The sequence below is a fragment of the Homo sapiens genome, chromosome 1 (assembly GCF_000001405.40).
Source record: "Homo sapiens chromosome 1, GRCh38.p14 Primary Assembly".
Classification (NCBI taxonomy): Eukaryota; Metazoa; Chordata; class Mammalia; order Primates; family Hominidae; genus Homo; species Homo sapiens.
The window spans coordinates 241,778,333-241,805,822 of NC_000001.11; the positions used below are offsets into that span (position 1 = coordinate 241,778,333).

Sequence of the window (27,490 nt, forward strand, 5' to 3'; positions counted from 1 at the left end):
ATTAGTGTTAGCGTGGTATATCTTTTTCTACTCCTTTGCTTTTAATCTATATGTATCTATATTTAAAGTAGGTTTTTATACACAACATACAGTGGCTCATGTTTTTAAATTCACTCTGACACTCTCTTTGTTTTAACTGGTGTATTTAGATTGTTGGCATCTAAAGTAATTGATTATTGACATAGTTGAATTAGTATCTACCATATTTGTTACTATTCTTAATTTGTTGCCCTGGCTCTTTATTCCTGTTTTTGTCTTCCAGTCTTTTTCTGCCTTTTGCAATTTTAATTGAGCATTTTGTGTGATTCTATCTTCTCTCCTTTCTTAGCATATTTATTATACTTCCTTTTAAACATTTTTTAGTGGTTGCCCTAGAGTTAATAATATATATTCACAATTAGCCTGTGCCTATTTTCAAGTAATATTATGCCACTTTGTATCTTATAATACCAAAGTATTCCTAATGTCTCTCTTTTATCTCCTGTATAATTACTATCATTCATTTCAAGTATTTATGAGTTATAATTATCAAATACATTGTTGCTATCATTATTTTTAACAAACCATTATCCGGTAGATCAATTAACAAAAATAAAGTTTTTATTTTATCTTTGCTTATTCCTTGTCTTCTTAGTTTCCTTATGTAGATATGAGTTTTTTTAAACCTATATCATTTTTCTTTTTTCTGAACTTCTTTTAACATTTCTTGAAAGGCAGGCCTATTAGTGACAAATTATCTCAATTTTTGTTTGTCTGAGAAAGTCTTTATTTCTCCTTTACTTTTGAAGGTTAATTTTGCAAAGTACAGAATTCTAGGTTGGTCGGTTTTTTCTCTCAACATGTTAAATATTTCACTCCACTCTTCTTGCTTGCGTTGCTTTTGATAAGAAGTTTGATGTCATTCTTATGTTTGTGTTCATTTTTTTTTCCTCCATCTGGCTTCTTTCAAGACTCTTTTTTATACCTTTGTTTTCCTGCAGTTTAAATAGTTTAAAAGTTGAGGTGTAGTCATTGTTGCTCTTTGATATGTAGTTTTTGTAACTATCATTTAAATTGTAGGCTGAGTATCTCTGTAAGAGTTTGGACTCTGTTTGGTGGTATATTCATTTCCACTACCCTGATCTCTAAAAGAACTCTAAGTGGGTGAAGCAATCTCATTAAGACTTACCAAGACAGAAACAAAATAATTTCTACACATAAAAATGAATATGGGCCAGGTGTGGAGGCCCATGCCTGTAATCCCAGCACTTTAGGAGGCCAAGGCGGGTGGATCATCTGAGGTCAGGAGTTCAAGACCAGCTTGTCCAACATGGTGAAACCCTGTCTCTACTAAAAATACAAAAAAAAATTAGCCGGGCGTGGTGGCAGGCACCTGTAATCCCAGCTACTCAGGAGGCTGAGGCAGAAGAATTGCTTGAACCCAGGAGGCAGAGGTTGCAGTGAGCTGAGATCATGCCTTTGCACTCCATTCTGGGCTACAAAGCGAGACTCCATCTCAAATAAATAAATAAATAAATAAAAATGAATATGAAATTTCTGCTTTCATTTCTGTTTTCTCAGGTTCTGTTTTATTCAGCATTATAAATACCTAAATCAAAATAACTTTTGGATAGTATTGATTTAGATAACATGATATCTAATTAAAGATTCCAATGTTTAAATTTTATACAGAAGGACATGTTATCCTTTGCAATATTAGCTCTTTCCTGGATCCACCTCATGATGAAAAGGTAAGAACTTCAGTTTTCCACTTTAATTTATGAGTCAGCATATATTTATTGAGCATTTCTCTGTGCTAGACACCATAAAGGATAGAAATACAAGACTCTCTGTTGTCAAGGCACATATACTATTGAAATTTGAGCTACATGACAAATTGCAGTGGTCTGCTGGTGAAAAGGGATCAAGAAGTAAGTGAGGGAGAGGGAGTAAGTATGCCAGCCACTGGTCACTTTGCATCGTCTTCATGTTTTGACTTATTTGTGAGAATTCATATAGCAACCCAGAGTTAGAAAAAGTTCATAGATTATACAGTCCTCCACAGTCAGTTTCTATATCTTATCCTTTATAAGATATTCCATAACCTTCCTTGCAAACCTAGTGCAGAACCATTTAAGAATTTTTTTCTTATTTCTAGTCTAAATTCTTCCTAACATTAAAGCACATTTTATTCTATTTTTTAAAATATTATACCAAGGAACAGCTATTTTAGCATAGCCCTATTTTTCTTTAACACATCAAATCAAAAGCTAAATATTAGCTTAAATAGATACTTTTTTTTGGATCACAAGTATTAACAAGGGGTTTATGTTGATTAGGATTTGATTCCTTGCAGAGTGTCTCAGAATAGTTATTGTTTCAAATATTGTTTCATTTGATTAGTGGAGTTTTCTTTTTGTTTCAGAGAATCTATTCTAACTCTTTTAAGGTTTCGGTATTCAACTTTAGTTTGACTATCTCCACCTGCAGAGGGTAAATCAGAGAATAGCTTGCCAAGGAGCACATAGACAGTGATGAAGTCAGGGCCAGGGTCGGGGTTCTGATTGCTAATCCAATACTCTTTCCGTATATAATACTTATGCTAACAAATGAAAAACAGCAAGGTTCAAACAACTTGAGAAACACGAAGTTTCATTTACCAGTAACTATAAATTGCTTGTAACGAAGACATGCTGCAAGCTGAACAAAAACAAACCGTATGCTTGAACCATATATAGGTGAAAAGTTATGTAATTGTTTTATCCTACTGCTGATGATTATTATATTGTATTATTAATTTTAACAGATAAAATGTCATTCAAAGCCTACAGTTTCGCAAATGGAATTGCTATAAACTAACAACTGAGATCTTTCAAACTTTAGAGAAAATCTTCAAAACAAAGTTATAGAATAATATTGAGTTACAAAATTAGTAGAAATAATTTTAAAGCATTTTCACAAATTTAAAATTAGAGAATCTTTAGTAACTTATTTTAAATTCTTTCATATTCAACTTCATTTCAACCTTTTCTGTACTCAGACAATGGAATCATACCATTTGTACATGGCTGCCTATTTATAAATATACAACAGAACCATAGAACCTGGCTATAAAATGCCTCATTATTACATAGATCAACAAATACCAATGCTTAAACCAGGTCCGGCTATAGATTACAACTGCAATGAATACCTAATAGGTCAGTCTAGAAAAAAAGGTTAATCTTGTTCTCTCCCGATATTACTGATAAAAAAGAAGTTCCATGGTATACAGACATTCTGAAAGATAAGTCGAAACCTCTCCACAGAAAGAGAGACCACACATATAATTACATATACACACATACAGAAAGGACAATCTTAGTTTCTAATTGCGGATTTCAATCCATTAAGGGGTCATGAAATCAATTAAATTAGTTGTAACCAGTATTTTTATAAAAATAGAAGAGAATGGAATGCAATGCAGTAGAACAGAATAGATCATATTGATGTACATTTCACATAGGTGAAGTATCCTTTTGTGAAACTTGTTTCAGACACATGTGCAAGTATATGTATATGTTCATGGAGTCATGAAGCAAAATGTATATCTTACTATAAATACAGTCAGTGTTAGAGAATGCCATCCTAAGGCAGAGAAAGAAACCTTGGATGACCAGATATTCTTGAATAGCTTTGAGACAATAAGAAGTAGGCCAGACACGGTGGCTCACGCCTGTAATCCCAGCACTTTGGGAGGCTGAGGCAGGCAGATCACGAGGTCAAGAAATTAAGACCATCCTGGCCAACATGGTGAAACCCCGTCTCTACTAAAAATACAAAAAAAATTAGCTGGGCGTGGCGGCACGTGCCGGTAGTCACAGCTACTCGGGAGGCTGAGGCAGGAGAATCACCTGAAGCCAGGAGGCAGAGGTTGCAGTGAGCCGAGATCGCGCCACCGCACTGCAGCCTGGCAACAGAGCGAGACTCTGTCTCAAAAGAAGAAAAAAGAACTAGGAGTCCAGATTTTACTTTGGCTCTCTAAAAATAACCAGAGGGAATTGAGTCAGAAGGCCAACAAATTTAGGCGGAATTGCGCCTACCCTTTGTTAAAGCCTAAATAAATAGAAGACTCGCAGGAGAACTCTAAACTGCCAGGACTGTCATCACATTACACTTCTAGGTAAATGACCCAGGACAAAGTAAGGTGTCAGTCCGGGTTTATCAGTGATAAAGAGGGAATATACTCACAGGGGGTGTGAGTGCAGAGCAAGCTCTCCACTTAACAACTCTAGTTCACACAATTCAGGAAGGTCTCCCGAGGCCCACGAGAGGCCCTAAACTTGAGGATAGCCACACCCTGAAGAAACATAAACAATGAAGCCTCATGATTTTTTTCTTTTCTACTCCTGTGACAGATGATTCATGATGTTTTTGAAAGAGAATGAAGCTGAGTTTTATTCTTTTCATCAACTACTTATAGCATGTATCTCCCACCCCATACTCCCCCCAAAAGAACAAAACAGCCAGTTCTATCTCTAGATAAAATCTGAACACAGGAAAAGTCTTTTTGCCAATCTCCCCTTTAGCTTTTACCTTCCAGCTCTGTTTCCTTCTATTCTTGATTATATTTACTTTCAGTCCCCCTCCAACCTTCTCCTAAAGCATCTCTTTCCTCTAGTCATCTGCTAATCATCAATTAAATGAATCGCTAATTCTCAGTTACATGATAAATTGCCAGAGACATAAGATACTTCCTCTCCCAGGGAGATGTATGAATTAATAAGTCTTTAAAAACAGGACTTCTTGTACCCCAACAAGCAAGAGAAGAGCTAATTGGGGGCAAGGACTTAATCATCTAGCACAGATGTCTACATCTTCCACTCATAAGCTTGGCTCAATGAGAAATGATTTTGTTGAAGATTACATTTTTACTAGCATATAGTTATTCCGAGGAATATGCCTTGTTTTTGCTATCTAGAAATTCAAGCAGCTGCTTTCCTGGCGTGCTCATTCTTTGGAAATTATTCAAGTAATCTATGTAGAAGAAAAACAAGTGGTACTTACTGCCTCCATCGATGGCTCAGTAAGGTAGGCCAAGATGGCATCATACTGTGAATTCAGTACTGTGAGCATGAGAGGTAAAGGATTTTAAGCTAAAGTTGAAGTATATAGTTCAAATGCAATCTTGGTAAACTGATTTAAATAAATAAGTAAATAGATGACACAAAAGGACTTTGAAAAGATGGCCACTGATTTGGAGTTCTCTTTCATGACCAAGGACATGAGATGTCACATTCATCTATATTAAAAGGTATCACAAATGCTTTTGATAAAAGTGAAGTTTTTTTTGTAGAATTACTTCAAAGAATTAAGCAAGATAGCTATCTCGGAGAGTTAGACCCAAGTCATAGAGGGGGGCTCAGAATCAGAAGTCATAGAAAAGTAATAGAAAAGAGCAATTGATGCTGAGAAAAGTGGGTAAGCTAATTATGTCATTGACTCTGTGATGGATTTTGCAAAGCCTATTGTTATCAATTACCTAGATAATGCTAAGTACCTATACACAAAATGCTAAAGACACATACACATATAAAGAGAAAGAAAGGAAATGTCATGGCATTTCTAGAAACAAATTTCTGCATATTGAAATGTCTTAAAATCATGGTAATGAATTATCCGCTTAAAAGAATGAAGTTAGGTAAGATTAAGAGAGGTAGAGAGGCTTTGAAGTATATTAGGGAATTTCAATGGAATCAAAACCAAAAGGAAGGAATATTTTATGCTGCATAAAAGTTGCTGGACTGAAATTCAAGACAGCCTAGCTAACTGTGTGGGCTTGAGGCTAGTGAGTTAGACAGACCAAAGCCACACAGTGTCCAGGAGGCACTGGTAAGAATTTGGATCCTTCCCCTGAAAGAAATAGCCACTGCACAGAATTTTACGTGGGGGAGTAATATGACCTGATTTATATTTTTGGAAGGTAATGGGTGGGGAATAGATTGCAGGGCAGCAAAAGTGGGAGCAAAGAGACCGGTTTGAAGTCCAGGGTGAATGTAGTGGCTTGGATTAGAGGAGTGGTAACAGCCTGGAAATAAGTGGTTTAGATTTGATGATAGCTATCCAGAAGGCAAAATCAAGAAGACGTGAACTTTAACTCAAAGGGGAGGTAAGTGATAAATGTCAAGAATGACACCTGGTTTATGCAACTAGGTGAATGTTAGAACCACTCATTAAGATACAGGGCTCTAAAAGAGGAAAATGTTTAGAATGTGGAAGGATAAAGAGCTTTAGAACGTTGAATTCAAGATGAATCTTTGGGAGTAAGGTCCTATTTGGAGGCAAAAGGTCAGAGTTACTTCCTCTGTAAGAAAGGACATCTGGGCTGGGTGTGGTGGCTCACGCCTGTAATCCCAGCACTTTGGGAGGCCGAGGCGGGTGGATCACGAGGTCAGGAGTTGGAGACCAGCCTAACCAACATGGTGAAACCCTGTCTCTACTGCGAATACAAAAATTAGCCGGGCGTGGTGGCATGAGCCTGTAATCCCAGCTACTTGGGAGGCTGAGGCAAAAGAATCACTTGAACCTGGGAGGCGGAGATTGTAGTGAGCCGAGATCACGCCACTGCACTCCAGCCTGGGCGACAGAGTGAGACTCTGTCTGAAAAAAAAAAAAAAAAAAAAAAAGAAAGGACATCTGCTGTTTTATTTGCAGGAAAGAGTAAGAACATTAAATGTCATTATTATAGATGTTTTTAACAACTCAGTCCCTTGGTCTCTGCTCCAGCTTATTTTCAGCTACCTATGAGCAGAAGTGTTCATTTGAGTTTGTAACACACACACAGACGCACACACATGGCACAACCACATATGTACATGCCACTGTTGTTGTAAGGTATTCCTTGCTTGTCTTGGTCTGTTCAGGCAGCTGTAACAAAATACCTTAGACTGGGTAATTTATAAACAACAGAAATTTATTGCTCACTGTTCTGAAGTCTGGGATGTGCAAGATCAAGGCGCTGGCAGATTCAGCGTCTACTGAGGTCTTGCTCTCTGCTTCATAAATGATGCCCTCTAGCTGTGTCCTTACATGGTGAAAGAGGCAAACAAGCTCCCTCGGGCCTCTTTTTAAAAGACACTAATTCCATTCATGAAGACTGAGCCCTTGTGACCTAAGCATGTCCCATTTCACATCAATATCACCACTTCGGGGATTAAGTTTCAACATATGAATTTGGCAGGTGGACAAAAACATTCACGCCATAGCACTGCTCACTCCAGTTATCCTTGGCATGGAGAAATTAATTTTATGATTTCTTACAGTGAAAATCTCCCTAGATACTCAGTTCAAAGTGCTTACATCTATTAATAGCTACCTCAGAACACAACTGTCTTCATAACCAAGCCATGTCCCTTTGCTAATACTCACTGCCACTCTCTAAAGAGTTAGGCAGTTTCAACGTTCTAAATCTTGCTTGTCAAAAAGATGAGATTTTTAAATATGAAACAAACATAATTGAGGCTGAACTCTGGGATGCAGGACAGGTGATCAGTCTGTAGACAGAAGTTCAGGGAGGCAAAGTGGGGCTCAAGGTAGCTAAGGTTCTGTATCTGAGGCCCAGGAAATCAAGCTGGGAAGCAGGATTAGTTATTTGGGAGAGCTCCATGCATAGCAGGAAACAAGGAGACTACAGTCTCTTCAGTCCTGCCTAAAGCAGAATAAATTTAGAATTGTTCCGAAGTTAGCCCCTCACCCTTCTAAATTTTACTATTAAAGGGCTGGTCTATTTCTCTTTGGTAAAGGTTCTGGCCAGGCCATGACATTTTTATAATGCTGGAGAATTAATACATGGAAGGGATAGAAGATGCTCATGTTAATTCCCCAGGACACTGTCAAGTGGGAGAAGTCCCAAATAGATACCTCTGTTTCTGCCTCCTTCTCAACATCTACCTCTCTGAGGTGGGAGGCTATTCAGACTTTGCAGAATCTACTCTTAGTTTCTTTAGCTTGCTTGCCCTCCTCCTTTTAGGTCATTGCTGCAGGGCTCATGATGATGATTGCCATCATTTGCCACTCTGAGGTTGAAATCAATAAATAAAAGGAAGATCTTCCAAATACTATTTTATGTTCCCATATGGCCTAGGGCACACACTCCTGCTAATAATACTCTGTATTACTTTAAACCACATGGGCTATTTAGAGGGACCTCTTGGAGTGAAGTGATAGTGAAACAAGGCATATGGATAACGAGTCCCTTCTCTTGCCATCCTCTTTCAGAACTCAGTTGTAAAAATTAGCAGGGTATTTGCACAATAGTAGCAGCTGTGGATGGAGGTTGAGGAGAATTTGATAATAGTAAAAGCAGCATGAGATCCCTCCTCCCTTAAGTTTGGTTGATGCTGATTTGAAAAGTAGCCAGCTGAGATACAGCCCATTCTAAGGCCTAATTCAATGAATACACTGTTAGTTAACAAGTGTTCTGATTAGCTTGAACGGGCAGTGTTATTTTCCCAAAAGAAAATAGAAAGAAAGCAAATGTGGTATACACACAACATGGAATACTAAGCAGCCATAAAAAAGAACAAGATCATGTCTCTTGCAGGGACATGGATGGAGCTAGAGGCCATTACCCTTAGCAACCAAATGCAGTTTTATTATCCTGAAATAACACTGCCCATTTGTTTTCTGGCTTTGACAAATGGGTGTCATAAGTACAGATTCAAACTAATATTTCCCAAAAAGTTTGCAGACTACAGTCTAACTGATAAAAATGTTGGCTGGAGGCCAGGCACGGTGGCTCACACCTGTAATCCCAGCACTTTGGGAGCCCGAGGCGGGTGGATCACGAGGTCAGGAGATTGAGACCATCCTGGCTAACACGGTGAAACCCCATCTCTACTAAAAATACAAAAAAAAAAAAAAAAGTAGCTGGGCATGGTGGTGGACGCCTGTAGTCCCAGCTACTCGGGAGGCTGAGGCAGGAGAATGGCATGAACCCAGGAGGCGGAGCTTGCAGTGAGCCGAGATGGCACCACTGCACTACAGCCTGGGCGACAGAGCGAGACTCCTCAAAAAAAAAAAAAAAAAATGTTGGCCGGACATGGTGGCTCATGCCTATAATCCCAGCAGTTTGGGAGGCCAAGGCGGGCAGATCACATAAGGTCAGGAGTTCAAGACCAGCCTGGCCAAAGTGGTGAAACCCCGTCTCTACTAAAAATACAAGAATTAGCCAAGTATGGTGGTGGGCTTCTGTAATCTCAGCTACTCGGGAAGCTGAGGCAGGAGAATCACTTGAACCTAGGAGGCAGAGGTTGCAGTGAGTCGAGATCATGCCATTGCACTCTAGCCTGGGCAACAAGAGCAAAACTCCATCTCAAAAAAAAAAAAAAAAAGTTTACATTATGATTAGCTCCACAGTATTTCATAGAAAGGGTCTTGAACCCAAGTAAAAAAATCCTTGATGGACCAGCGCTAATTTACATAAACGATCTAATGAACAGAATAACTTTGACCAAATTTTCCAGTTACTTTTTCCTCCCTTCCTTTTCCTTCCCTCAGGCTCTGGCATGCCCTCAATGGACATTATTGTGGATATTTTGGACAGCGAAGGCTCTTTGAATTATCACAGACAAGAGATTTCATTTTGCCTTGTGATGTTACTGAATATCCCATAGAAATAAAAGAAGAAAGCAAGTTCACAGAGAAGCAAAAATATGAATATCCTCTGATATTTGACCGGGAAAAGTAAGACCATTAGCTCTTCTTTAGATAAGCATACAAGAATCAAACTGTTGAGATGCTGTGGCACTGTCCTTGAGATGGAGAATTCAAGGCAAGAGGTCCAGAACTTTTCAATAATTTTGTAATCCAGTGGAAGGGAAATGTATGTAAACAAAGCTATAATTGGTAGTACTTCTGGGAACATCTGATTCTTAAGACAGTAACAGAAGGGCAAATAGGATTTAACCAAAGAAGACCAAAGGTGCAATAACTTGTTAGTGGGGGAAATTTGACCATGCTTAAAGGCATAGGGGAGGAAGGATAGAGTACAGAATGTGAGAGAGAAGCTATTTTCCACTTTTACAATCTTCAATCCTGGTTTTAGACATCCTTTGTCATAATGGAAAAGATCAGTACTCTTGAGTTTTCAATATCAGTGCAGCTCAACCCTAGATGGTGAATGTCAAAATGTCCAGCCTTCAGGGGACCAGACCTGCCTGGACTGGTTACATCTCACAGACCAGCACTAAGGGAGCCACGGAAGATGAGTCCAAATGGAAAGAATCAGAGAGGGATATCAAAAGTAAAGTCCTTCAGGGAAATCCCAAGTGCACTCAAGGCTGGAAAGACCCAATGTCATTACCTAATTCAAAAGATGGTAGAAGGGTTCTAAATAGGAATTGAAGCTAAAAATCAGAAGCCACACAGGATTTGGATCAAAGCAGGAACAATTTGAAAACAATCAAGAAGGGTTCCAGGTGACCCCATCAGAGTGTTCAAGGACTACTTTGGCTGGCCAGTAAGGAGCACTGGAGAAGAGGCTGGCTGAGATGGAAGAGGTGGTGTAGTAAGCCAAGCTTCAAGATGCAGTAAAGTTTACCAAGCAAAGTTTCTCAGTTTTACTTTGGGCAATTGCTTAGCCTTGAATGTTCATATATCCTAGTACTTAAGACAGGATTCTAATTTGTCCATATGCATCTTCTTCTCTATACTGTGAGTTCCTTGAAGACCAGGACCTTGTTTTATACATCTTTGTATAAAACAGTTCATAGCTCAGTGCTCACCACACAGCAGGCACTCAAAAGATATTTATGGAACTAATAAAGAATGACTAATGGAGAATATCACAAGCAGAGGGAGCAGATGTGAATGGTAGACACAGAAGCATGAAAGGGCATGGTACATACAGGACAGCTTTAGCGTAGGACACGTGCTCATGTTATGTTGTTATTGCTCAATAATTATGGCTTATCTGTAGCAAAATGGGCCTTCTTCTGTAGAATGACTTCATCTCAGGACATAGTATTTCTTGTCTTTTGAAAATGTTAAACAGAAATATCATTCAACCCAGCAATCTCATTACTTGGTATGTATCCAAAGGAATATAAATCATTCTACTAAAAAGATACATGCATGTGTATGTTCATTGCAGCACTATTCACAATAGCAAAGACATGGAATCAACCTAGGTATGCATCAGTGGTAGACTGGATAAAGAAAGTGTGGTACATATACACCACGAAATACTATGCACCCATAAAAAAGAATGAGATCATATCCTTTGCAGGAACATGAATGGAGCTGGAGGCTATTATCCTTAGCAAACTAATGCAGGAACAGAAAACCTAATACTGCATGTTCTCACTTATAAGTGGGAGCTAAATGATGAGAACAAGTGGACACACAGAGGGGAACAACATACACTACACTGGGGCCTACTTGAGGGTGGAGGGTGGGAGGAGGGAGAGGATCAGGAAAAATAATTAATGGGTACTAGACTTAATACCTGGGTGATGAAATATCTGTGTAACAAACCCCCATGACACAAGTTTACCGAAATAACAAACCTGCACATGTACCACTGAACTTAAATAAAAGTTAAAAAAAATAGTTATGACTTTCTAAATATATACATAATTAAGTTTTGACTATAAGGGAAGCCTCCTTGAATCATATGGAAGTCAAGCACTGGTCTTGTAAAAGCGGTTTCCTAGTTCCTAATATAGAGTTTCCCCTCCCACTCCCCAAGGGCTATTAGTGAATTTAAATACATGAAATGGCCGGTCATGGTGGCTCAGGCCTGTAATCCCAGCACTTTAGGAGGCTGAGGCAGGCAGATCACTTGAGGTCAGGAGTTCGAGACCAGCCTGGCCAACATGGCGAAACCCCATCTTTACTAAAAATATAAAAATTAGCCGGGCGTGGTGACGTGCACCTGTAATCCCAGCTACTTGGGAGGCTGAGGCACAAGAATTGCTTGAACCTGGGAGGCAGAGGTTGCAGTGAGCCGAGATTGCACTACTACACTCCATACTGGGTGACAGAGCGAGACCCTGTCTCAAAAAATATAAAAATAAATAAATGGAATGTTCTGGTTGAGTAGGAGTTGCTGTGGTTTCTATAGAGGAATATTTGGGAAACCAACTGGTATAAGAGTTGAGTGTAGAGATACTGTCATTGGGACTGATGCCATAGGAACCAAGAAATGTGGGCACCAGAGAAGGACATAATGGATCTTTGTTTAGTTGGCAGAGAATAAAAGGTATGGGTATGTACTTATTCTTGTATCTTTATATGCAGATGGAGAAAAATGAGCTCAGTGTCTCTACTTTTCAAACGCACACCTCCCAAGGCCTTTGAAGTGGAACAGGATTTCAAGTTTTTCAAGTCTCTTTCTTCTCCTAAGGTAGCTTAAAAAAAAAAAAAAAAAAGAAATGGCAACAACAACAAAACCTTTGCTTTTGTTTTTCTGAATTCAAATATGTCCAGTAATATAACATATTAATTTTTTATTGATGGTATTACAAATTACTATAAACTTGGTGGCTTAAACAATACAAATTAATTATCTCCCAATTTTGGAGGCCAAAAGTTCTACATGGGGGCTATACTGAGGTGTCACCTGAGCTGAGTTTCTTTCTGAAGGTTGTAAGAGAGAAGACCGTATTCCTTAGCTTTGTGGCTCCCTTCCTTCATCTTCAAAGCCAGCAATGGGCCAGACATGGTGGCTTACCTCTGTAATCTCAGAACTTTTGGGAGGCCGAGGTGTGTGGATCACCTGAGGTCAGGAGTTTGAGACCAGCCTGATCAACATGGCGAAACTCCATCTCTATTAAAAGTAAAAAATCTGCCAGGCATGGTGATAAGCGCCTGTAGTCCCAGCTACTCAGGAGGCTGAGGCATGAGAATCGCTTGAACCCAGGAGGCAGGGGTTGCAGTGAGCTGAGATCGTGCCGCTGCACTCCAGCCTTGGCAACATAGCGAGACTCCCTCTCAAAAAAAACAAACAAAAAGCCAGAAATTTGTCCCCTCTCTGACCATGTGGTCACACAGCCCTCTGACCCAGCATGAAAAATTATCTGCTTTTAAATATTTATGTGGGCCGGGCACAGTGGCCTGTAAACCCATCACATTGGGAGATCAAGGTGGAAAGATCCCTAGAGTCCAGGAGTTCAAGACCAGTCTAGGCAACATAGTGAGACTATGTCTCTATTAAAAAATTGTTTTAAAAGTAGCGGGGCATGGTGACAGTCCACCTGTCGTCCTAGCTAGTTGGGAGGCTGAGGTGGGAGGACCCCTTGAGCCCAGGAATTTGAGGTTACAGTGAGCTATGATCCCACCACTTCACTCTAGCTTGGGCGAAAGAGTGAGACCCTGTCTGGGGGAAAAAAAAAAAGAAAAAACAACGAAAGATTAAAGTGATTAGACTTGGCTTATCTAGATAACACAGCATAATATGCTTGTCTCAAGGTTCTTAACATGAATCATATCTGCAAAGTCTCTTTCGCCAAGTAAAGCAATATATTCACAAGTTAGGAAGTAGGAGAAAAGGATGTGGACATCTTTGGTAGCTGTTCTTCTACCTTTCACAGACAGACATGTTTTTCTTCAGTGCAGAATTAAGAGAGAAAAGTGTACTGCTGTTCATTCTATTTCTAATTTTAACACTTCTAGAGAACAGATATAAAATGATTCTTTAAGCTAAGGTCTAGCATTAATAAAATTGATTTCCTCAAGGTTTTCCACAAAATAAACCAAAAGAACCTTTCTAAATGTATCTCCCATTACCAACCTACAGTTACCCCACCCTCTACAAATCACACTAATTACTGTTTCCTGAGCATTCCTGTCTGTCTTCTGCCCTACAATTTAGTTCCCCGGGATGTCCTTGCCATATCTATAACCTCTTCCATCTGTCCAAGTCCACCCTACCTTTGTAATACATAGGAAGGTTAGTATACAGGGGCCGGGTGCGGTGGCTCACGCCTGTAATCCCAGCATTGTGGGAGGCCGAGGTGGGCAGATCACGAGGTCAGGAGATCGAGACCATCCTGACTAACATGGTGAAACCCTGTCTCTACTAAAAATACAAAAAATCAGTGGGACGTGGTGGTGTGCACCTGTAGTCCCAGCTACTCAGGAGGCTGAGGCAGGAGAATCTCTTGAACCCAGGAGATGGAGGTTGCAGTAAGCTGAGATCGTGCCACTGCACTCCAACCTTGGCGACAGAGTGAGACTCTGTCTCAAAAAATAAATAAATAAATAAAAATAAAATAAAAATTAACAAAGGTCAGTATACAGGATATGGAAAGAACTCCTAAAATCAGTGAGGAAAAAAGAGACGATTCCACAAAATGGTTTAAAATAAAGTGGCTGAGCAAGATGGCAGAGGAGGACTCCATAGGAGCCCTTCCTCCACAGAAGCCAGATTGACAAATACCAAAAAGTCTGAAAATATCAAGGGTTGGTGTTTTGTGGCACAATCAGAACACTAATCTGCTGATGGTAGTGGTGTAAATTGGTAGAACCACTGTGGAAAGTAATGTGGCATTATCTAGTAAAGATGAAAATAGGCCTATCCTATTAAATGTATACCTTAGGGAAACTTGAACATCTCCTTAGGAGACAGGTACGAGAATGCTCAGAGAAGTGCAGTTTGCAATAGCAAATCCCTGAAAGCAGCCTAAGTGCTCATCAACAGGATAATGGGCAAATCAATTATGACATATTCATAAACTGGAATACTATAGACCTGTGAAAATAAATGAATGAGAGAAACGCTCATCTACAGGAATGATGGTTTGAAGCAACTATTGAATGAGAACAATTTTGCATAAGTATATCCATAACAATTTCATTTATGTAACAGTCAAAAATAGGCAAAACAAAACAAAATGTTGTTTGAGCAAGAAACATGTATAAGGTAAAATTATATAAACAAAAGCAAGAGAATTAAAAACACAAAATTCTGGATTGCTATTTATGTCTGAGGGTAGATGAGCAGGAGTGAGGTGAGGGAGAGCTTCACATACAGAGCTCAAAGTTGGGGGTGTTGTTCCAGTTTGTAAAACACGGCAGCAGATCCACAAGTGTCCACTGAATGTTCAGTATGTCATTATTCTTTAACAGTATCTACCTTCAAAGTTGGGGGTGTTGTTCCAATTTGTAAAACAGGCAGAAGATCCACAAATGTCCAGTATGTCCTGAATGTTCAGTATATCATTATTCTTTAACAGTATCTACCTCATATTTAATAAATATTTAATCTTCAATTCTTTTCAAATGAAACAATTTTCAAAAACTTTACCTTTCTGTCCAAATGGAGCTCAGGTACCTTCTTTTCCCTGAAGACAGGGTGCTAAGGAGGGAAGCCACAGGGTGTGGAGCCTAACAGACTTAGGTTTAATTTTAGATAAGTTCGTTCTTTCTTTCCTCATTTGAAAATCCTTCAAAGGGTTTTTGTGAGAATTAAATGAGAAAATACATACCAGGTACATTTTAGTTTCTCAATAAACATTAGCTCCACTTTCGCCAAAGGCTCCATGTCTCCCTGCTTCATGTCTCATAACATGTTATATTATCGTGTTCTACATTAAAATAGAATTATTCAGCTGGGTGTGGTGGCTCACGCCTATAATCTCAACACTTTGGGAGGCTGAGGCGGGTGGATCACCTGAAGTCAGGAGTTCGAGACCAGCCTGGCCATCATGGTGAAACCTGTCTCTATTAAAAATACAAAAATTAGCTGGGCATGGTGGCAGGCGCCTGTAATCCCAGCTACTTGGGAGGCTGAGGCAGGAGAATCCCTTGAACTCAGGAGGCAGAGGTTGCAGTGAGCTGAGATCACGCCATTGCACTCCAGCCTGGGCAACAAGAGCAAAACTCTGTCTCAAAAAAAAAAAAAGAAAAAAAGAATTATTTGTATATTTACCTCTACTTCCCATCCCTATCACTAAATCATAAGCTCTTTATGAGCAAAGATACATGCATAACCTGTAACAGATACTCAATTTTGTTGAATAGGACTAAAATAGTACAACCTAGAAATAAAGATTGGAATTCACTTTTAACATTCTCTTTCAATTTAGAGATAAGAAATCATTTTTTAAGTAACTTAACTGAAACACTAAGTAAATTTGGAGAAATCTTTAGAATGAGTTTTAGAGCCCTTGAAATGAAATAATTGAATGCCCCACATATTTTAAGCTTTACTGTTTTTTTTTTTTTTTTTTTTTTGAGACAGAGTCTTGCTCTGTCATCCAGGCTGGAGTGCAGTGCTGTGATCTCGGCTCATTGCAACCTCCGCCTCCTAGGTTCAAGTGATTCTTCTGCCTCAGCCTCCCAAGTAGCTGGGACTACAGGCACCTGCCACCACGCCCAGCTAATTTTTATATTTTTAGTAGAGACGGGGTTTCACCATGTTGGCCAGGATGGTCTCAATCTTTTGACCTCGTGATCTGCCCGCCTCGGCCTCTGAAAGTGCTGGGATTACAGGCATGAGCCACCGTGCCCGGCCGCTTTATTCTCTTTTTACCTCAGTTGGTTGGTAAAACAACAAAGGTTGAATGCTAAAGTTAAATTAAAATGCCTTTCCCTTAGGACTCTGATTTTCACCAGCAGTCTTGTTTTGTCCATTCCTTTTCATTTTCAATTATGTAATATTTATCTATTCACCTCTTCTGTTAATTTCTTTTTTGATGTATTGTGACCATGAATGATGACACAGTGGTACTAAATCTTACAATTGAATAGCACCTTGCTATACATATTATTTATTTGATTCTCATAACTAGGTAACAGGGAAGTCCCTTAAGATCACACATCTAATAAGTGACAGAGTCAGGATTTGAACCCAGGTATTTTACCAGTGATAGGATGTGCCCCTTTCATTAAACATTCATCCCTTTGTTTTGCAGATTCGAAGATATCCCTTGGAAGGTTTCGTGACTGAAAACAGAGAGGCAGGGATTGTTTTCGGCTCTCTGCCTATATACAGTGTGAGTTGGAGTTTCTAGGAGTAGAGGGGTCACAGAACAGTAGAGAATCTGCCATCTCATTCCTGACCCTGGGCTACCAAGCAAGGTTGGAGAAAATCATACAGTCAGTTGGACCGTTGCTTCCAAAAACGTATCATGTGCAGTCCCAGAAAAGTCTTGGACTGTGTGTGTCAATGACCGGGTCCCTTGTCTCTGCCATACCACGTGGTGGTTATTTTGAACGTTACTCTGTTGGCTTGTCAACTACAGGGTAAAATCCAAATGCCCTTGCTTGGCTTATAAAACCTCCAGGATCCACCCTCTTTTTTCACCACCTTTTCCTCATACTCTGCCTATATTCCAACCACATGAAATTACTTTCCGTGCCCTAAGCATCACTGGTCTCTCTAATACCTCTGAAACTGTGCCCGTGCTGCCCCCCTGCCCAGAATTCATTCATTTCTTGTTTCCCTCAAAATCCCTACTCATCCTTCAAGTCTCCACCCCAGGTAACCTTTGTTAGACAACTAATTAATTAACCCAAGAAATAATAAGCCAGAGACCAAATATTTCAAATTAACTTATATCTTAGATGTTATCTTTCCTAAGAACATGTTGTAACAGGTATCAAATACTTAAGCTAACAGATGATGCTAAAGGGTGAACTATCAAGATTTAGTAGTGAATTTCTAAGAGGTAGACGGAATGCAGTGTCTCACACCTGTAACCCTGGGATTTTGGGAGGCAGAGGCAAGGGGACTGCTTGAGCCCAGAAATTTGAGACCAGCCTGGGCAACATAATGGGGCCCTGTCTCTATTTTAAAAATAAAAAATAAAATAAAATAAAGATTTAATGCTGAGCAACTGGGAAGAAGGGGGGTGTGTATTTTGAAGCAGCTGGGCCTTCTCACTCCTCATCCCAACTCCTGAATTCATATTACAGAAGTAATCACTTTGAGTGTGTCTCACTGACTAATTTATGGCTTCCAGATATCAAGCCCCACTAGTCTAAGATTTCTTCCACTGATTGGCGTAGAAGCCCAAAAGGACTCTTCAGATGGCATTACAGGAAAGAAGAAGGGAGGTCATGTTCAACGTGAAAAAGTAAGTTAGTACTAATTCCACCGTTAACTCCAATTTCAGTGTATCCTATTTCTGTTTGTTTTTTTAAAAATATGTCTCTGCTTTCAGAAACATTCTGAACCTAAAATCATTTCAGTTCATACTTTTTTTTTTTTTTCTTGAGGCGGAGTTTCCCTCTTGTTGCCCAGGCTGGAGTGCAATGGCACGATCTCAGCTCACTGCAACCTCCGCCTACCAGGTTCAAATGATTCTTCTGCCTCAGCCTCCTAAGTAGCTGGGATTACAGGCATGCGCCACTGTGTCCAGCTAATTTTGTATTTTTTTAGTAGAGATGGGGTTTCGCCTTGTTGGCCAGGCTGGTCTCGAACTCCTGACCTCAGGTGATCCACCCACCTCGGCCTCCCAAAGTGTTAGGATTACAGGCATAAGCCACTGTGCCCGGCCTCAGTTCATATTTTTTATGAATATTCCAGATGTGTGTGTTTTAGCTCAGTGAGATGAAAATCATGAATTTGCTGGACAGAGAAAGAGAAAAATCAAATAAGATCAATAAGCCTGAGCTAATGAAGCTTATCTAGACCTTTATGACTGAAATTCACTGAGCTGTTTTAGAAACTAGGAGATTTGACACGACATAGAGGAGGGCTGTATAACCATCCTTGTGTCTTAATTTGGTTGTACCTACAGAGTAAAGCCATGAGGTCAGTTTCTGTCTTAGCTGCAAGAATTTTTCTACAGTATTAATAAAAATAACTAACATGCAATGCTTTAGAGTTTGCAGTGATTTTATAAATGATTCATTTGATTTTCACAATAAGAACAAAGAAAATATTAGACTCTCTTAGAGCTGGGGAAAAAATGGAGTCTAAAGTAAGGTCAAGTGGCTTACCAAAGATCACATACAAATGAAGTGATAAGCTGATACCTACTCTGACTCCAAGCTCATTCAATGAAACCATGATAGCCTACACAGCTATCACTATATAACCTATCACTCTCCTACTAGTTCTAGAAGCTCTCAGGGGCCTAACTTAACCTGTGGCCATTTATCCAGTCATTAAAATAGATCAAACATTTAGGAGGAAGATATAGCACATGGTAATTTTTTATAAGTCTCCTTTCCATGAAGTCAGATTAAAATTAAAAAGGAGTTGGCGTTTATTGATTGTGCCTAACTCAGTAATACATAACAAATACTGACAACAACAACAATATTCAAAGCTGCTTTAATTAATATTGAAAACTTTGCCATAATAATGTTAGCTTGTGCACTTAATGAGAATATGAATAATTTCTGTTCATCATCAACTCTGACAATTATTTAAGAATTTTTGGCATTAGAAGAGTTTTCTGTTAAAAAATATCATTTACTTTTAATTGTTTTATGTAACTGATGAAACACAGTTGTATAAATAATCCAAAACCTTGTCTAGAGACCTGGAAATGAAAAAAAAAATCCAAAACTAAAGGTAATAAAGTATTTGTATTTTTTTCTGCACGACTCTGTGCATTAGGTTTTATAATTCATGCATTTTATGTCTATTTGCACTCTTATTTAAATTTTATCTCATCTGATGTTAAATATACTTTGCATTCTTTAAGTAAATACTAAGTGACAGAAAGAAGATGGCCAAATATGTCTTAGGTACCAGGGGGAAGACAATATGGAATGAAAAATTATTCACAGTTAATCTACATAAAGACTAATCTACACTCCAATAACCAGAATTTGACTCTACTATAATTAATTTTATTAGAGATCATAAAGAATGATAAATTATTTATCCAAACACAAAGACATTTTTAAGATGTCTAAATAACCTGATGTTCTGACAAATCCTTTATTTTCTCTTAATCACTCTGATAGATCGTCGATCACACCAGAAAGACAAAAAGAATAGATGTCTTCATTTGTTTATAGAAAATAGGTGCCTTAATTTGCTTAAATTGAAAAATCCTCACATAAAACTCTCTTCTGGTTTACTAAAAGAAATAGTTAAGTGTGGCCAGGAGGTCAAAATTGGTTTCCAATATACAATTAAGACCAATTGTGCACTTAGTAAGATGACAAAATCTGGAAACTGGGATAGATTAAAGCACCACTATGTTAACTGTCTACAATTTTAGAACTCCAAAGAGCCTAAATGGAAAAACAGTGGATCACATAAAATCAGTAGTTAGACACCAAATGCCTCGTTTCATAAAAATACTTCCAAAATGGTGGGCATAAAACGACCTCAGAAATTCAGGGGGAGAAATTTCACTTTTATGAAACAAATATTTATGGAATACCTTAAAATATTCATCATGTCCCCTGCACTGTTCTGGGCACCAGGAATCCATTTATAGATTAAGGAACTTACAGTACAGTTGGAAGAAAGTCCTTTGAGTAAAAGGTTCAATAACAGATATCTTAGTCTATTTTGACTTACTATTTTTAAATATAGAAATGCTAATTCTGAATATGAACTTCTTTAAATCATTTATACGTCTCTTTAGAATTAAACAACACATTATAAAATATTAACCATGGTACAACAAAAGATAAATCAGAACATGAGTTTGTATTTCCTTTTCAGTTTAAATGTAGGAAGAGAAGGGAAGAAAGTGAACTTTGGAAAGTGTAACCCATTTTCAAAATTGTGGAAACATGTCCAATCATGCAAAAATGTCTAAGTGAAAGATGGTATATGTGAAAACATACTCCATAGTTTTTCCAAAGTATTTAATGACAGGCCAGGCTCAGTGGCTCATGCCTGTAATCCCAGCACTTTGGGAGGCTGAGGCAGTTGAACTGATTGAACCCAGGAGTTTGAGACCAGTCTGGGAAACACAGTGAGACTTTGTCTCTCCAAAAAAAAAAAAAAAAAAAAATACAAAAATTAGCCGGGTGTGGTGGTGCACACCTGTAGTCCCAGCTGCTTGGGAGAGGTGGGAGGATCGCTTGAGCCTGGAAAGTGGACGTTGCAGTGAGCCAAGATCGTGCCAAAGCATCTCAGCCTGGATGACAGAATGAAACTCTGTCTCAAAAAAAAAAAAAAGTATTTAATGACAGAAAAATTATCACAATTTTATTTTAGGTGAAAAGAATATATAAACTGTAACTCAGTAATATTTCTAATGACAACAGCAAATCTTTATTTTCAAATCAATGTTGCCCAGTATGATATTGTGCATTTGCTATGTACTCTTTCATTTCATCTTTGCAACAACACTTTGAGATATGTTGCAATGATCATCCTCCTGTTACAGTTAAGAAAACTGAAACACAGAGGATAAGTAATTCCTCTGAGATTCCAAAAAAGCAAGTCATAGAGCTGGGATAAATCCAGTCACTTAACTTCAAAGCCTGGACACTTAAATGCAATGCGGTATAATTCAGTGATGGGTGAGCTGCTAGGTCTCTCCTGGTCAGAATAACCTTATGAGAATTAACAATTAATGAACACTAGAGAGCCCCACCCTTCCCATCTTTTTCAGTCTCCTCACTGATGTAATTTTTTTCATAGCTCTGATCACTACATGACATTGTATCATATAAAAATCCATTTTTTCCAAAATTATTTTTCATATAGCTTAATTTTTCCCCTAAAAAGTCATTTTTATTGCCTTTATCCCACTAGAATGTAAGATCCATGAAGGCAGAAACTTTGCCTAACTTACTCTCTGCTGCAGTGCCAATGTCTGGAACATAAGAGACACTGCAGAAACATTTGCTGAATGAAATAGTGAATTAGCCTTTAAAACAAGTGGAAAAAGAAAAAGAGAAAATAAAAGAAAGATCTGTGCAGCTTGGAAAGTTCCCTCTGCTGGGGTTTAGCAGGTTGATCCAGGGAGCTAAGCCTCCTACCTTGTCTGTGGGAGAAAGAGGAGTACTCATGTGACCTCTTAATGTCCAAGCTTAAAGGATCCGTAAGTGGTTGAATCTTGACCTTAGGAGCTCACTCTTCTCCCTTTCCTTATAACTCTCTACATCTCCTCTTCCCTTTTTCTTCTTTCTTTCTTTATCCCCATAATAGACCATAAAATCAAATTGACATGTATTGTGAATATTGGTTGAACATAACTGATATGAATTTTTAAACCAAATTAGTTTAAATTTTTATACCTATTTCTTCCAAAAATAATCAATGCAAAACAAACTTTTATTAGCTGGACGTGGTGACACATGCCTGTGGTCCCAGTTACTCGGGAGGCTAAGATGGGAGGATTGCTTGAGCCCAGGAGGTTGAGGCTGCAGTGGGCTGTGATGGTGCCACTGCACTCCAGCCTGGGTGACAGAGCAAGACCCTGTCTCAAAACAAAGCAGAACACAACAAAAACCAAACTTTTATTCCTCATTTGTGTGACTGATAATCACTTGATTTTATTTTCCTGTGAGCCAACCGACTCTGATGTTATTAATCTGCAATATTAATTAATTATTAATTGTGCTCGCTTCAGCAGCACATATACAATATTAATTATTAATTAACCAAGTCTTGTTTTGTTTTGTTTTGACCCAACCCTTTCCACACTGTGCAGCTGAGTCCTAGAATGGATAACTGCCCAGTTAAGTAGCTCTTCAGCTTCTGCTTGTCCACCGCATCCTTCAGGAGCCCCACCTCCTAATTTAACATACTTTTATCCTGAAGTCACATAGGATTGTTAAGTAAATAACTATTCATTTTTTTTCTAGGAGGATTAAAATCTCTATGTAAATTAGCAATACACCTTGACTCTGGAAAATTGTGTTTGTCAGTAGAATGCCAGTTACTAACTGACATGCTCTTTATTTCACAGGCACCACGAAGAAGAAGTTTGAAAAAAAATTTAGTCCCACAAATAAATCTGGCTTCTTCCTTCTTCCCAGCTATACCCAAGTAAGGAGAAAAAATCAGAAATGGCTGCTGCACATAAAATGGCAACGTTTGGATGATACCTGCTCTTTATTTCAGGATGAGAGGGAGAAACCACCAGACACTATCAGTCATCTCTGGTGTCAGGCCATCCTATTGATGGGAAAGATTGCTTAGGGAGTTCTGGTGACCTTAACTCTGAATACCAAGCAAGCAGCAAGCAGCCAGAAGTTTAGGCGGTGTTTCTTATTTACTGTCAGCAAACTGACACATAAGAAAACAAATGAAATCAACAGCATTAGTAGGTCTAAAATAATATGGTTATCAATGTTTAGCTTTCCACTTCCTCCCATTGGTCACCTTACTCCACAGCAAGAATGACTGTCAGAACATGTGCAGTAAAAGGCACTTTCAAGTCATGCTATGTGTTGTACAAAAAGAATTATTAAAAAGAAAAATGTACCAGTCAGATCTCTAGATGTTTGTCTTCTTCATTTAGAGAAATATTATCTGGAAGAAAATGTCCTAAGTTTCTCAAAGTCAGAAATTATTTCTATGTAGTCCAGACCTGACTCCAGATAAATATAAAAGACGGCAAAGAAAGGAAGAAAAATGGGTCATAGAAATAGAAAAAGCATAGTAACATGGTAGATTTAACCTTAAATATATCAATAATTATGAAACCTTTAATAGGTTAAAGTATGCAAGTTTAAAAGGTTGTCAGAATGGATTAAAAAAACAAAATCCAACTATATGTTGTTTACAAGAAACACATCTAACATACAAGGACACCAAACTCTTAAAGATAAAAGAATGAAAAAAGATGTATGATGCAAAAACTAACCTAAAGAAAATCAATATAGCCATATTAATATTAAAATACACTTTAAGAAAATAAACAAGAATCTTTATAAAAGTTTTATAAAGTTATTAATAATAACTCAAAAAAGGAAAAAGCCTAGTTTCCACAACAGAAGAATGACTAAACAAACTATGGTAGGGTAGGACAATGGAATCCTCAGCAATTAAAGGGAATAAAATGCTAATGCATGCATTAACATAGACCAATCTCAAGAATATGTTAAGTCAAAAAAACTTTACAGAAAGAATACATGTTGTATGATTCCACGTTTATAAAATTCTACAACAGGAAAGACTAACACTCAGTTTAAAAAATTAAAACAATGGTGGCCTCTGGAAGAGAGGGCAAATATCACAGAGAGATTTAGAGATTTAGAAGGGGTATGAAAGAACTTTCTGGGGTGAATGGTAATGTTATCTTAATAAAGTTTGGGTTATACAGCTAGGTGTGCATTTCAAAATTTATTGGATGATATTTCTGCATTTCGTTGTATGTGAATTTTTTCAAAAAATTAAGAATTGTAAACTAATATTCTCATTGATATGCATGCTAATAGGATTACTAGTGTCTTCCACTTACTTTGAAATGAATCAAAAAAATAAGATGAACTAATGGATAGAGGGATGGACTGATAGATGGATATGTGTTAGAGCATATCTAAAACCACATTAATTATGGAATCTAGGTGGTAGGAATACAGGTATTCATTAAAGAACTCTTTCAAATTCTCTGAGTGTTTTCATTTTTTTCCATACTAAAAGAGAGGAGGGAAAAAAGTTTAATGAAGAAATCAATATAACATTTTAGAGAAAACTTTGAGGAACTCTGTATAAATGCAAAGGTATATTTATGTTCATGGCTTTGAGGATTCAATATTGTAAAGATGTAAGTTCTTTCTATACTAGTCATCTATTGCTGCATAACAAACAATGAAAAAAAATTGAGTGGCTCGCAACAGCAATCATGTATTTGCTCATGACTCTGTGGGTCAGCAATGTGGGCTGGCTCCACCGGGGCATTTCTTCTGGTCTCACCTGGTGCCACTCACACAACTGCAGTGAGTGTCTAAATGGTCTAAGACGGCCTCCTTGTGTTTGATGCTGACTACTGGCTGGACTTCTCTTTCTGTGTGATCTCTCATCTCCAAAGAGCCAAGGGGCCAGATTACAGTCTGTAATTCCAGAACTTGGGGAGGCTGAGGTGGAAGGATCACTTGAGCGCAGAAGTTTGAGACCAGCCTAGGCAACATAGCAAAACTCTGTCTCTACAGTAAATACACAAATTAGCTGGGTGTGGTGGCACAGGCCTGTAGTTCCAGCTACTGGAGATGCTGAGGTGGAAAGATCACTTGGGCCTGGGGTGTCAAGGCTGCAGTGAGCTGAGATCGCACCGCTGCACACCAGCCTGAGTGAGGGAGCGAAATCCTGTCTCAAACACAAAACAAAACAAAACAAAAACACAAAGAGGCGAGACCACAATTCTTCACATAATGATCTGATGGTTTCAAGAAGGCAAAAACAGAAGCTACAAGATCTCTTGAAGCACTGAGTACAAAAGAAAAGATAGGTAAATTGAATTATATTACAGTTTAAAATTCCTGTTTACCAAAGAGAGACTATTAAGAAAGAAAAAAGGCAAGCTGTAGAATGGCAGAGATTTTCATTACCTGTAACTAAGAAAGGACTTATATCTAAAATATATAAAGAACTCCAACAAATCAATAAGAAAAATCAAGGCAATCCAGTAGGATAGGCAAAAAAAAAAAAAAAAAACCATGAACTAACACTTCAGAGAAGAGGTTATGCAAATAGTCAATACATATATTAAAAAATGCTCAACTTTCTTAATAGTAATCAAGGTAATGCTAATCAGAACCATATTAGATGAAAGATTCAACCAAAAACAAAAAATACCCTCCTGGGATTAATAATCAATTATACCCAAGGTTGTTGAATGCAAGATTAATACACAAAAGTCAATTGCTTCCCTATTTACCAGCAATGAACACGTGGAATTGAAATTAAAAACACAATACTTAGGCAAAAACCTAACAAAATATGTAGAAGAACTATATGAGGAAAACCCCAAAACTCTGATGAAAGAAATCAAGTAACTAAATAAAGGAGAAATATTCCATGTTCATGGGTAAGAAGATTCAATATCATCAAGATGTCAGTTTTTCCCAACTTGATCTAAAAATTCAATGCAATCCCAACCAAAACCCCAGAAAATTACTTTGGGGATATTGAGGAACTGATTCTAAAGCTAATATGGAGAAGCAAAAGACACAGAATAGCAAACACAATGTTGAAGAAGAAGAATAAAGTTGGGGGACTGATATCAAGACTTAGTATAAAGCTATCGTGATCAAGACAGTGTGGTACTGGCAACAGACATAAGAAATAGATCAATGGGACAGAATAGAGAGCCCAGCACCAGACCCACATAAATACAGTCAACTGATCTTTGACAAAGGAGCAAAGATAACACAATGGAGAAAAAGATACACTTCCACACATGCTGCTGGAACAACTGGACATCCACGTGCAAAAAATGAATTCAGAAGCAACCTTACATCCTTCCCAAAAATTAGCTCAAAATGGATTATAAGCCTAAATGTATGATGTAAAACTGTAAAACTCCTAGAAGGTAACATAGGAGAAATTTTAAATTTCCTTCAATTTGGTAATGATGTTTTAGATACAACACCAAAGACACAATCTATGAAATAAGGAATTGATAAAGTTCACCTCATAAATAGAGCCTCTCTCTCTCTTTTTTTTTTTTTTTTTTTTTGGAGACAGAGTCTTGCTGTGTCGCCTGGCTGGAGTGCAATTGCACAATCTCTGCTCACTGCAACCTCCACTTCCTAGGTTCAAGCAATTCTCGTGCCTCAGCCTCCTAAGTAGCTGGGACTACAGGCACATGCCACCACACCCTGCTACTTGTTTGCATTTTAGTAGAGACAGGGTTTCGCCATGTTGCCCAGGCTGGTCTCAAACTCCTGAGCTCAGGCAATCCGTCCACCTCAGCCTTCCAAAATGCTAAGATTATAGGCATAAGCCACCATGCCTGGCTTTGTAAACTGCACTTCATTAAGATTAAAATTATCTGCTCTGTAAGAGACACTGTCAAGAGAATGAAAAGACAAGACAAAGACTGGGAGAAAATGTTTGCAAAAGACACATCTGATAAAGAACTGTTATCTAATATATAAGAAGAACTATTAAAACTCTACAGTGCCAGGCATGGTGGCTCAGGCCTGTAATCCCAGCACTTTAGGAGGCCAAGATGGGTGGATCACTTAAGGCCAGAAGTTCCAGACCAGCCTGGCCAACATGGTGACCCCATCTCTACTAAAAATACAAAAATTATCAGTCATGGTGACACATGCCTGTAGTCCCAGCTACTCGGGAGGCTGAGGCAGGAGAACTGCTTGAACCTGGAAGACAGAGGTTGCAGTGACAGTGAGCCAAGATTGCACCGCTACACTCCAGCCTGGGCAACCGAGCAAGACTCTGCCTCAAAATAAATAAACATAAATAATAAAATTCGACAGTAGGCCAGGCGTGGTGGCTCACACCTGTAATCTCAGCACTTTGGGAGGCCAAGCTGGGCAGATTGCCTGAGGTCAGGCATTCGAATCCAGCCTGGCCAACATGGTGAAACCCCGTCTCTACTAAAAATACAAAAATTAGCGGGGCATGGTGGAGCGTCCCTGTAGTCCCAGCTACTTGGGAGGCTGAGGCAGGAGAATCACTTGAACGTAGGAG

The 27,490-nt window shown here is 38.5% G+C and overlaps 1 protein-coding gene across 5 annotated transcripts in view; it reads left to right on the forward strand.

Annotated features, from left to right (window-relative positions):
- WDR64 (WD repeat domain 64) overlaps nt 1-24,445 on the forward strand; it is a 150,497-nt gene extending 126,052 nt beyond the window's left edge. For 4 of the 5 annotated variants that reach the window (NM_001367482.1, XM_017000315.2, XM_011544086.4 and 1 more), the window contains 7 exons: nt 1,672-1,730; nt 4,940-5,049; nt 9,517-9,702; nt 12,259-12,364; nt 16,875-16,955; nt 17,925-18,038; nt 22,800-24,445. In NM_001367482.1, the coding sequence (NP_001354411.1) occupies nt 1,672-1,730; nt 4,940-5,049; nt 9,517-9,702; nt 12,259-12,364; nt 16,875-16,955; nt 17,925-18,038; nt 22,800-22,883 (740 nt within the window). In that variant the 3' untranslated portion in view covers nt 22,884-24,445. Of the gene's footprint in view, nt 1-1,671; nt 1,731-4,939; nt 5,050-9,516; nt 9,703-12,258; nt 12,365-16,874; nt 16,956-17,924; nt 18,039-22,799 lie in introns of those variants that run through there. The other variant, XM_011544087.3, reaches the window with a different exon arrangement.
- The last annotated feature ends 3,045 nt before the right edge of the window (nt 24,446-27,490 follow it).